This window comes from Homo sapiens, chromosome 4 (assembly GCF_000001405.40).
Source record: "Homo sapiens chromosome 4, GRCh38.p14 Primary Assembly".
Lineage (NCBI taxonomy): Eukaryota > Metazoa > Chordata > Mammalia > Primates > Hominidae > Homo > Homo sapiens.
Genome location: NC_000004.12, coordinates 161,617,635 through 161,630,894, shown reverse-complemented (window position 1 = coordinate 161,630,894; position 13,260 = coordinate 161,617,635). Strand labels below are relative to the sequence as shown.

The 13,260-nt window shown below is 34.8% G+C and overlaps 1 protein-coding gene across 4 annotated transcripts in view, besides 1 other annotated feature; it reads left to right on the top strand.

The window, feature by feature from the left end:
* Positions 1 to 13,260, top strand: part of FSTL5 (follistatin like 5) — a 780,104-nt gene that overhangs the window by 533,106 nt on the left and 233,738 nt on the right. The window lies entirely within an intron of this gene.
* Positions 524 to 818: an enhancer, noted in NCBI's record as "tiled region #7835; K562 Activating non-DNase unmatched - State 24:Quies". NCBI's record gives its function as "activates a minimal TATA promoter and a strong SV40 promoter by Sharpr-MPRA in K562 cells {active_cell/tissue: K562}" and the evidence as "EXISTENCE:reporter gene assay evidence [ECO:0000049][PMID:27701403]".

The window sequence follows — 13,260 nt, the reverse complement described above, 5'->3', positions numbered from 1 at the left end:
TCTATGACAAGTTCATGTAAAGCAAAGTTCTGTCAACAGATGAGGACAAAAGCAGACACAAAATACAAGTAAATAATATTTTGGGGCCATGTGACTCAAAGAATGATAGCACCATTGGTAGAAATAGAATAATTTTGTTAATTGGTTTTCTGTTGGAATCGTAATATAGTTTTCTTACGCATATGTTGACTTTGAGGCAATTGAGTAAACCATGTGTAGTTTGAAGTCATAATATTTATTATTCATCTTTGTGGAGACATACTTAACCAATATTTAAAGTTAGTGATATAGCCAATCACTGTCATTAACTCTTTTTCTGATCCTTCAAATTTCCAGTTACAATTGTGGTTTTGAAATTACAGTGCCAGTTTTATCTTAGGAAATCCACATATATCATTGGCTATACTTATGATGAGAAAGTTATTGCTGTCTCTACTTCACAAACAAGAAAGGCTCATAAAAGCACATATTTTCAAGGGCTTGAGCTGACCTGGAGAGAGCTGTACTGCCAGGTGCCATAGTAGCTGATAGAAAACACAAACCAAGACGAAAGCAACAGTCAAGACTGTGATCATTTAGTACGAAAATATGAGCCAGAGGCTAAATGAGAGCTGGCAGTAACTCACCGCACTGTTCATTTTCCCACGTGAAACAGCACCAGTAAAGGGTAAGCTGGATTAGCATAAACATGGTGAGTCACCTCACTGCACAGTGAAGCTGAACAGAAGGGTCCCGCAGTTTTATGGACCTGGAACGGAGGGGCAGGAAGGGGAGGGGAAGAAGGAGTAAGGGCTAGGAAAGAAAAAGTACTGAAACCTAGTGGAGGAAAGTGTCTCCTAGTTCTCCCTGATTCCCCCATTAAGAGGCCTCGGCTGCAGTGTCTGAGGAAGACTCCACTATAGGCCCCTGGGCTAGGAATGAAGATATGCATAAGAGAATGGCCGGCCAGGAGGTCCTGAGCCTCCGACTGGAAGTCCCATCATAGACAGCCTCGCACTGGCTGTGCGCCAACTCTGTCGTTCAGGGGATAGCTTTCCCCTCTGAGACCTGCCAGGTAAAGCCTTTGTAATTTCCCGTAGTCAGGCCTAAAGGTTCACACATGAGTATTTGACCAGGAGCCCAATAATTTGGGGCTGATAATAATTTTGGTGTGAACTGACTCGGCCAAAAACATATATAGCTATGGCTTAGGGGAAAAAAATCCCATTTTCTTCCCTCCAAGATGCTTCTTTCATTAAAAACATTTTATGGGCCGGGCGCGGTGGCTCAGGCCTGTAATCCCAGCACTTTCAGAGGCCGAGGCGGGTGGATTACCTGAGGTCAGAAGTTCAGGACCAGCCTGGCCAACATGGGGAAACTCTGTCTCTACTAAAAAATGCAAAAACTTAGCCAGGTGTGGTGGCAGGCACCTGTAATCCCAGCTACCAGGGAGGCTGAGACAGGAGAATGGCTTGAACCCAGGAGGCAGAGGTTGCAGTGAACCGAGATCATGCCATCGCACTCCAGCCTGGGTGACAAGAGCAAAACTCCGTCTCAAAAAAAAAAATTATCTAATTTACTATAACTTCATTGATTTTCATTTTGTCTCTTGTGTTTTCACTCTTCCTTACTAGTAAAATTATGTTTGGAAATGTTCATTGTAACTTGGAACAGAAAACAGAGCTGGAGTTAGAGTAGTATGTGGTAGTAGGTCAGTCAAAACATGAAGGAAGCAGAAACAGCTTGTGGTGAGACTTATGTTGGACAGCCACAGGGTTCTGCTGCCTGTGTGTACCATGAAAATCACTGCTCTTCAGGGACAAAGCAAACTTAGTTTTAAATAATAATTGATGTCATTTCTTTCTACTTTGTCTAACACATACCTATAGATGTGTTGCTTTAGCTCCTCCACTAAATCTCAGGCTCTTTGAGAAATTATAACCCTATAATAAATACCAAAATTATAAGTGTATAGAAAGTTTTTAATAAATACTATTGAGTTGAATATGCTAACCAATTAATAAAATATACAGACCTTTATTATTCCTGGAGATCAGTGACTTTCATAGTACAGCCAGGCAGCAGAATTTCATGGCTGTCCATTAGTAGTCTGAATCTTGACATTAGAAATGAGCAAGTGAAAAATTGTGATCAAGGGAATAAGATTGGCAGGGCCAACCTGATAGGAAGTTAAAAGGAATAAATTACCAATTAGTAATGGAGGTTTCAGATTGAGATGCATTGTAAAATTCAAACCTAAATTTCATTGGGATTTAATGTTACACTTAACGGGCTAACGTGATCTCAGATGTCCTTTTTGGCATCTCTCTGCACATTAAAAGTAATATGACTATCATTCATCCTTGGTTAATCTGAAAAAGTAAAATAATTATACTCTGATATTATGTTATATATATTAATTTTTAGACATAATTTTAAAAATGGAGCTGCAATTTGTGTGTTTCCTTTAAGCCGTTTTTATCAAGGCTGTCATATTTCTGGTTGGAGTGTAACATATCCATCTAAGACCTTTAGACTAATCAGGACCCCACTGATACTTTAATTTCAATTTTTTCTTGCTTTTTAAAATAATTTACTACAACTAGAATAATCTACACAAGTAAAAATATAGAGATTATAGATTTTTCAATTAAGTCTGTATAAAAATGTTAGAAACTTATGGGGAAGAGAATTAACATTTTTGAGTGCCTATCACATGCCAGACACAGTGTGAATGTGTGCTATATTGATTTGTTCCTTTAATTATCATACAAATATTGTATGGAAAGGGGCATCTTTCCCCATTTATGTCTGAGAAAACTGAGGCTCGGGGACTTATTTAACCAAAAGGAAAGCAAGAGGTAAAGCAAGAATTAAAAGCTAGATTTGTTGGTTCCAAAATTGTACTATTTTGTCTGTGTGGGAATGTTTCCATTCATGGCTAATTCTTTTGTGTGTATTGGATTTGAATGAGAAATGAGTTATATTGACATATGTTACTATCATAAAATTATTCCAAAGTCTGTGTCTGTATGACCGTGACAGTATATATCAAAATTCTTCTTAATAATTTTATATCAGATGTAAAATTATAAGATTTTTTAATATATAGACTAAAATGCTTTTATTTTAGTCAACTTTCACTTTAATATTCCAGAAAAATATTTCATGATATTCAAAATTGTCATATGGGAAATTATCTGGTTGTACACTACTTTTGACTTAGGCAGTGTAGTAATGGGTATAAATATATGGTGAATTATTAAAAGTTAATATTCTGTAATAAACCATTAAGATTTTTGAGCTTCTATACTTTTGTAAAAAGGTATCTAACAAAAACACATTTTCTAGACTTTCAGGCATGCCTCGGAGATCTTGAAGGTTTGGTTATAGACCATCACATTAAAACAAATATTGCAATAAAGAGAGTCACACAAATTGTTTTGGTTTCCCAGTGCATATAAAAGTTATATTTATACTATAATGTATTCTATTAAGTGTATTAAGTACGATGGCATTATGTATAAAATATAAATGTAAATGCCTGAATTAAAAGTATGTTATTTCTAAAGTGGCTGACAATTATCTGAGCCTTCAGCAAGTCATACTCTTTTTGCTAGTGGAGGATCTTGCCTCAGTGTTGATGGCTGCTGACTGAGCAGAGTGGTAGAAGCTGAAAATTGGGGTGGCTGTGGCAATTTTGTAAAATAAGACAACAGTGAAGTTTGCTGCATCAATCGACTCTTTTTGAAAGATTTCTCTGCAGCATATGATACTTTTCATAGTGTTTTACACACAGTAGAATTTCTTTCACAATTGAAGTCAATTATCTTAAACCCTTTATCAACTAAGTTTACATAATCTCCTAAATCATTTTTTGTCATTTAAACAATTTTCATGCATCTTCCCCAGTAGGTTGCATCTCAGGAAACCTCTTTGTTTGCTCATCCATAAAAAGCAAGTAATCTGTTCAACTTTTATAGTGCTACTGTAGCAACTCATTCACATCTTCAGGCTCCACTTCTCATTCTAGTTTTGCTATTTGCATCACATCTGTAACTCTTGAACCCTTTGAAGCCATCCATGAGGATTGGATTCAACTTCTTCCAAACTCCTGTTAATATAAATGTTTGACCTTCTGGCATAAATCATGAATGTTCTTAACGGCATCAAGAATGGTGAATCCTTTCCAAGAGATTTTCAATTTATCATGCCCAGATGTTCCTGTGGCAGCTGTAGCCATACAAAATGTGTTTCTTAAATAATAAGACTAGAAATGAAAAATTATTCTTGATCCATGTGTTGCAGAATGAATGTGGTGATTGCAATCATAAAAGCAAGATTCATATCCTTGCACATCTCCATCAGAGCTCCTGGATGACTAGGTGCGTTGTCAATGAGAAGTAATATTTTGAAAGGAATCGTTTTTTATTTTTTTATGAGCAGTATGTCTCAATAGTGGGCTTAAAATATTCAGTAAGCCATGCTTTAAACAGATGTGCTATGATCCAGGCTGTTGTTCCATTTAAGAAGCACAGGCAGAGTAGATTTAGAATAATTCTTAGGGCCTTAGGATTTTCAGAATAATAAATAAGCATTGGCTTCAATTCAAAGTCACCGAGTGCATTAGCCCTTAACAAGAGAATCGGCCTGTTTTTTAAAGCTTTAAAGACAGACATTGTCTTCTCTCTAACTACAAGTCCTAAATGGTATTTTCGCCCATCACAAGATGGTTTTGTCTACATTAAAAATATTTTGTGTAGTGTAGTCAGCTTCATCAATGATCTTAGCTAGCTCTTCTGGATAACTTGCTGCAGCTTCTACATCAGCATTCGTGTCACCATGCACTTTTACATTATGGAAGTGGCTTTTTTCCTTAAACTCCATGAACTAACCTCTTTCTTACAGAAGAAAAGCTTCCAAATTTTCTCTGTGCTTTCATATATCTCAGCCTCCATAAAATTGAAGAGATTTACAGCCTTTCTCTGGATTAGTTTTGTCTTAAGGGAATGTTGTGGGTGGTTTGATCTTCTATCCAGACCACTCAAACTTTCTCTATATCATCAATAAACCTGTTTCGCTTTGTTATTTTTTGTGTGTTTATTGAAATTGCACTTTTAATTTCCTTCAAGAACTTTTCCTTTGCATTTAAAACTTGGATGTTGGGCACAAGAACCCTAGCTTTTGACCTGTTTCGGCTTTCAACATGCCTCTCCCACTTACCTTCATCATTTCTAGTTTTTGATTTAAAATGAGAGGTGTGTGACTCTTCCTTTCACTTAAACACTTAGAGGTCATTGTAAGGCTATTGTTGGCCTAGTTTTAAAATTTGTGTCTTAGGGAATAGGGAGGCCTGAGGATAGTGAGAGAGATGAAGTATTGGCCAGTCGGTGAAGCACACATTTTTCAATTAAGAACACACGCAATTTTTACCAATTGTTTGCCACATTTTAGGCATGTAGTTCATGGCAACCGAAAACAATGACAATATTAACATCAATGATAACTGATCACAATCATCATAATATAATAATAACAAAAAAGTTGGAGATATTGTGAGACTTATCAAAATGTGACACAGAGACATGAAGTGAGCACATACTGTAGGAAAAATGGTGCCTATAAACTTGCTCAAGGCTGAGTTACCAGAACCTTTTCGTTTGTAAAAATTGCAATATCTGTAAAGCATAATAAAGCAAAGTAAGCTTGTACTGTGAAATACTGATATTAAACTAGTACCTATAGAAACATTGTTAATTTATTGACTGTAAATTTGCATGTGATTAAAAGGAACTTTTTGAGTACTATTGTTCCATATGACAGATATTTTCTTCTGTTATCCCATTATTGAACAATACTGTATACTATTAACCATCATAGAATCCTAGAATGGCAAACTGGTATTTCCTAATACAACACCTAGTTCAGCTGCTGTTGATGCTGGACAAAATGGTCCCCAAAAAAGGGTTTACATATTGTTCACTGTAGCACCGGCTTCTCTGCTGCTTCCGGTAGGACTTCTGCATAGAATCTGGAACTAAAGTTTGGCATACAGCAAATATGTCCAAATTCAGCAGTATCTACAAAACATATACTGGTTGATAAAGATAAAAATATGTGCACTAAAATGCAAAAATATATTAGAAAAGGTAATACTTATTTTAATCTTGGAATAGTATCGTTCTTCCTCATTCTAGATGCTTAACTTATTGCAGAGTGGTAGATAATATTTTTTTTTCTCAAACAGTATAAGGTTTTCTATTTTGAAATGGAGTATTTTAAGGTTTTTAATATGAAGAGCATACAATCATAATAAATTTACAATCATGTATTAAAGTTTTTAGTATTATAATTAAAAAATGTACACCTATAATCTGTAGCTCTATAATATAAAGGAACTTTTAATAAATTTATATTATAAATGATAAATATACATTTAATCAAAATTGTCAAATTGTAAGTTTAGATAATTTTGTGTGTTCTCAAATTATTCCCTGAATTATTATTCAGAAGGTATCCTAAACTCTAATTCTTAAAATCAAATTAAATTATTATCTATGGATACATACGTAAAGGGACAAATTAAAATGTCAAAAAATAGTGATCCTGTTTGGTTTTTGGAATCAGAAGTCATTTAGGTTTTCAAATTTGGCATGTATTTCTATGATATAAGAAATTGTAATAATAAAGGGATGTTAGGTCAGTACAGTGCAGAGGTCCACACTTCAATTTGGTAGGCAAGCAAAATTCAGACTATGAATAAAGTGGCTGTTGTTATTCTTTACTAATTGCCTCAAATGTAATTTCTTAATTGGTTATAGCTATCTTTTCTCTCATGTGGAAGCATTTTTCTCCATTGTCTTTGTCTTATGAAAAACAGTATATAAATAGTATTGGAAATTTTTACTTTCATACATTCATTAATATGGTGTTCTAAAGTTTGCCTTGCAAATTTAACTGCTAAGAACTATATAAATTTCTTTAAAAAGAATTAATAAATTATCAAATGTATAAGCAAGTCCTGGAAGTTTTACTATGTCAAATATTTCAAGTATGTTAAATTAAAACATTTTGAATAAAAAATGCAAGATAATTCACAGAACTCTTCTCTGAAGTATGGATGCTACTTAATGAAAAAGCGGTAGGCTTTTTAAGTAGAAATAAACAGATATTTATCACTGATTTGAAGTATCATATCATGCCAGAAATAGTTTTAGATACTAAATACAACACCATAATTTAATTTTTTCTTTCATAAGCAGTTGTGTCACAGAAAAAAAAATCACTGATAAAATCTAAACCTAAAATTAATCTAGAGAAAATGTTATCAAAAATTACATAGGGACTGACCCCACTAAATATATATCACTTCATTGTATAATAAAATTTTAACAAACAGGAAAATTATTTAACCAATATGAAAATTGTAAATAATATTAACAATAATCATAAAATATTTGAGTACAAATATTTCATTAAAAAATTAAAATGTAGGATAATTTATGTAATCTAATTCAACATAAATGTTGAAATAAAAATTGCAGTGAACATGTGTCTTTAAATAGTGATAACATCTGCCAATACTAATATGGTTGTTTCCTGCCTGTCTCCATACTTTTATTTATTTTCCTTGACTTATTGTACCACCTGGAAAATCCAGTACAAAATTCAATGAAAGTTATGTTAATGGAAACTTTTCTTTTCTTACATATCTCAAAAGTAAGTTTTCAGAGTTTGTCTCTGAAGTATGATGTATACTTTAGATGTTTTGAATATACCTGTTGGCAGATAAAAGATGTTTATTTTATTCCGAGTGTGCTAGAATGTTATCATCAATGATTCTTTTCTGTCAAAAGTGTAATTTTTTCAGCAGTTATTGAGATAGTTTATGACTTTTATTGTCTTTCACTGTAGTTAATTATTTTTATAATACAAGGCAACCTTGGCTTCCTGGATAAAAATAAGAAAGCCTCACGTCTGTTCCCAGCTTTATATTTATAGATTGTTCTGATGTCCTTCACAGAAATGTCAAGCATCACAATGTGAGGGGTGGGGAGTACAAATTGTACTACTTAAATACACACACATATACTCAGGTTTAAGTAATGTGGAGTATACCTGGAATTGATTCTTAAATAAAAATTTTCTAAACTTTTTTGCCAGCTTTCTGTTTTTATAATATATTGAATTACGTAACAGATTATATTAATGAAACACCATTATCAAATTGTTTGCCTTCATCTGCTAGTGTAATTAAATCATTCTCTTAACTTAGAAGATTAAATTGTACAGTTTTCAAGGATTAAACTAACTTTTCACCCCAATGGTAACTCCACTTGGTCATTATATATATATATACACATATGTAAATAAATAAATACATATTTATTTACTTACATATTTTGGTGCTTTCAATTGCTAGTATTTTATTAATGACTTTTTTCTGTATTCAGGAGAGTTATTCATGAGGGTCTATAATTTTCTATTGTAGTAATGTGTTTGTTATGTTTTTACGTCAAGCTTTCACTGACTTCATAACATATGTTCAGAGGTAGCCCTTCTTCCTCTGTTTTACAAAAAAAGTTGTGTAACATTGGTATGAATTAATTTCTTAACCTTTCCAGGATTCACCAGTGTAAACCTCTGAAATTTTTGTGGGGAAAGATTTTAATAATAAATACAATTTATTTAAGAGATAAAAGGCTGTTAAGATTTTGTATTTAATCTCATGTTTATTGGTTTAACTTGAACTTTTCAAACAATTTGTCCATTTTTCTAAATTCCTGTTTACAAATTTATTGATCTGAGTGTTTATACCATGAATTCATTATCAACTTCTAATGTTTTTAGCATATGTAGTAATCGCACCTATCTCAATTCTAATACTAGTATTTTTATTTTATTTTATTTTATTTTTTTGAGAGGGAGTTTCGTGCTTGTTGCCAGGCTGGAGTGCAGTGGTGCGATCTTGGCTCACTGAAACCTCCACCTCCTGGGTTCAAGGATCCTCCTGACTCAGCCTCCCGAGTACCTGGGAATATTGACATGCACCACCACAGCCAGCTATTTTTTTTTTTTTTTTTTTTTTGTATTTTTAGAAGAGACAGGGTCTCATCATGTTGGTCAGGCTGGTCTCGAACTCCTGGCCTCAGGTGATCCACTGGCCTTGGCCTCCCTCCCAAAGTGCTAGGATTACAGCTGTGAGCCATTGCGCCTGGCCTGATATTGGTAATTCCCATTGTCTTAATGTTTCCTTTATGAATCTTAGGGGAGTTTATCAATTTTAACAATCTTTTCAAGTAAATAAATTTTGCTTTGTTAACTTTTCTGTCTTTATTCTATTTTGTTGGTTTCTTCTATTGTCATTGTTATTTCTTCTTACATTTATCATGGGTTTAACTTGCTGGTTTGTTCTAAAACTTTGTTGAGAGGAGATCTTAGCTAGTTTAAGTTAAATTTCTCTTGCTTTCCTGCAACCTTTTAAATTTGTATGTACTGTATTAGCTGCTGCTTAAATATTTTGAAATCTTATATTTCAATGATTATTTAGTTTGACATATTTTCTAACTTCACTTGTAATTGATTTCTTCTTTGGCCAAATTTTGTGTTTGTGTGTGTGTGTGTGTGTGTGTGTGTGTGTGTGTGTGTAGTCTTTACATCCCCATATCCCTACTATTTAGAGACTTTTCAGATAGTTTTCTGGAAATGATTTTTCATTGAATTCTTCAGTGATCAGAAAATACCCTTTGCAAGATTTAATTTTGTTCATGCACTGGAATTGTTTTATGGCCTCCATACGGTACATCTTGTGAATGTCCCATGTGACCTTGCAAGAGTATGTTTTCTCCAGTTTTGGAGTATACTGGTCAAACTGGTTAAGAGTGTCATTCTGATATTTTATATTCCTACTGTGTTTCTTTTTTCTTTTCCTCTATTACTTGTGTTATTCTAGAGGGAGGAGTGATACCAATTATTGATTATGATTATGAATCTATTTCTCCCTGAGGTTCTGTCAGTTTTTGCTTCATATATCTTGAATCTCTATTATTAAAGGTTTTCATATATTTGTAATTTTAAATCATGAGATCTTTCTGTTATATTCATCATTTTAATATTGATCATTTATATTTACCTACATATTTACCATTTTGAGTGTCTTTATTCATTTCTGTATATCTAAATTATCACTTTGTGCCATTGGCTTTCATCCTGAAGAACTCTGTTAGCACTTTTTTGTTTTTGTTTTTGTTTTTGTTTTTGAGATGGAGTTTCATTCTTGTTGCCTAGGCTGGAGTGCAATGGCGCGATCTCGGCTCATCTCAACCTCCACCCTTCGCGTTCAAGCGATTCTCCTACCTCAGCTTCCCGAGTAGCTGGGATTACAGGCGCCTGCCACCGCGCCCGGCTAATTTTTTGTATTTTTAGTAGAAAAGAGGTTTCTCCATAGTGGTCAGGTTGGTTTCAAAATGCCGACCTCAGGTGACCTGCCCATCTTGGCCTCCCAAAGCACTGGGATTACAGATGTAAGCCACTGCTCCTGGCCTCTGTTAGCATTTCTTTTTTCTTTTAAATTATTATTATACTTTACGTTTTAGGGTACATGTGCACAATGTGCAGGTTAGTTACAAATGTATACATGTGCCATGCTGGTGTGCTGCACCCATTAACTCGTCATTTAGCATTAGGTATATCTCCTAAAGCTATCCCTCCCCCCTCCCCCCACCCCACAACAGTCCCCAGAGTGTGATGTTCCCCTTCCTGTGTCCATGTGATCTCATTGTTCAATTCCCACCTATGAGTGAGAATATGCGGTGGTTCTTTTTTTCTTCTTGCGATAGTTTACTGAGAATGATGATTTCCAATTTCATCCATGTCCCTACAAAGGACATGAGCTCATCATTTTTTATGGCTGCATGGTATTCCATGGTGTATATGTGCCACATTCTCTCAATCCAGTCTATCGTTGTTGGACATTTGGGTTGGTTCCAAGTCTTTGCTATTGTGAATAGTGCCGCAATAAACATACGTGTGCATGTGTCTTTATAGCAGCATGATTTATAGTCCTTTGGGTATATACCCAGTAATGGGATGGCTGGGTCAAGTGGTATTTCTAGTTCTAGGTCCCTGAGGAATCGCCACACTGACTTCCACAATGGTTGAACTAGTTTACAGTCCCACCAACAGTGTAAAAGTGTTCCTATTTCTCCACATCCTCTCCAGCACCTGTTGTTTCCTGACTTTTTAATGATTGCCATTCTAACTGGTGTGAGATGGTATCTCATTGTGGTTTTGATTTGCAGTTCTCTGATAGCCAGTGATGGTGAGCATTTTTTCATGTTTTTTGGCTGCATAAATATCTTCTTTTGAGAAGTGTCTGTTCATGTCCTTCGCCCACTTTTTGAAGGGGTTGTTTGTTTTTTTCTTGTAAATTTATTTGAGTTCATTGTAGATTCTGGATATTAGCCCTTTGTCAGATGAGTAGGTTGGGAAAATTATCTCCCATTTTGTAGGTTGCCTGTTCACTCTGATGGTAGTTTCTTTTGCTGTGCAGAAACTCTTTAGTTTCATTAGATCCCATTTGTCAATTTTGTCTTTTGTTGCCATTGCTTTTGGTGTTTTGGACATGAAGTCCTTGCCCATGCCTATGTCCTGAATGGTAATGCCTAGGTTTTCTTCTAGGGTTTTTATGGTTTTAGGTCTAACGTTTAAGTCTTTAATCCATCTTGAATTAATTTTTGTATAAGGTGTAAGGATGGGATCCAGTTTCAGCTTTCTACATATGGCTAGCCAGTTTTCCCAGCACCATTTATTAAATAGGGAATCCTTTCCCCATTTCTTGTTTTTCTCAGGTTTGTCAAAGATCAGATAGTTGTAGATATGCAGCGTTATTTCTGAGGGCTCTGTTCTGTTCCATTGATCTATATCTCTGTTTTGGTACCAGTACCATGCTGTTTTGGTTACTGTAGCCTTATAGTATAGTTTGAAGTCAGGTATCATGATGCCTCCAGCTTTGTTCTTTTGGCTTAGGATTGACTTGGCGATGCAGGCTCTTTTTTGGTGTCATATGAACTTTAAAGTAGTTTTTTCCAATTCTGTGAAGAAAGTCATTGGTAGCTTGATGGGGATGGCATTGAATTTTAGACCAATATCCTTGATGAACATTGATGCAAAAATCCTCAATAAAATACTGGCAAAACGAATCCAGCAGCACATCAAAAAGGTTATCCACCATGATCAAGTGGGCTTCATCCCTGGGATACAAAGCTAGTTCAATATATGCAAATCAATAAATGTAATCCAGCATATAAACAGAACCGAAGAGAAAAACCACATGATTATCTCAATAGATGCAGAAAAGGCCGTTGACAAAATTCAACAACCCTTCATGCTAAAAACTCTCAATAAATTAGGTATTGATGGGACGTATTTCAAAATAATAAGAGCTATCTATGACAAACCCACAGCCAATATCATACTGAATGGGCAAAAACTGGAAGCATTCCCTTTGAAAACTGGCACAAGACAGGGATGCCCTCTCTCACCACTCCTATTCAACATAGTGTTGGAAGTTCTGGCCAGGGCAATTAGGCAGGAGAAGGAAATAAAAGGTATTCAATTAGGAAAAGAGGAAGTCAAATTGTCCCTGTTTGCAGATGACATGATTGTATATCTAGAAAACCCCATTGTCTCAGCCCAAAATCTCCTTAAGCTGATAAGCAACTTCAGCAAAGTCTCAGGATACAAAATCAATGTACAAAAATCACAAGCATTCTTATACACCAATAACAGACAAACAGAGAGCCAAATCATGAGTGAACTCCCATTCACAATTGCTTCAAAGAGAATAAAATACCTAGGAATCCAACTTACAAGGGACGTGAAGGACCTCTTCAAGGAGAACTACAAACCACTCATCAATGAAATAAAAGAGGATACAAACAAATGGAAGAACATTCCATGCTCATGGGTAGGAAGAATCAATATCGTGAAAATGACCATACTGCCCAAGGTAATTTATAGATTCAGTGCCATCCCCATTAAGCATTTCTTAAAGTGCAGGCCAGCTGACAGTACATTCTGTTTTATCTAAACATGTCTTTATTCTACCTTCATCTGCAACAAATATTTTCACTGGACATATAATTCTATAATCACAGTTTTTCTTTCCTTTCTATGAATGAGTTAAAGATGTCATTTCATCATTCTCAGGTCTTTTTTGTTTCTCCCTAATGGGAATGTGGTGGTCAATCTCATTATTGTTCACTATATGCAATGTGTCAC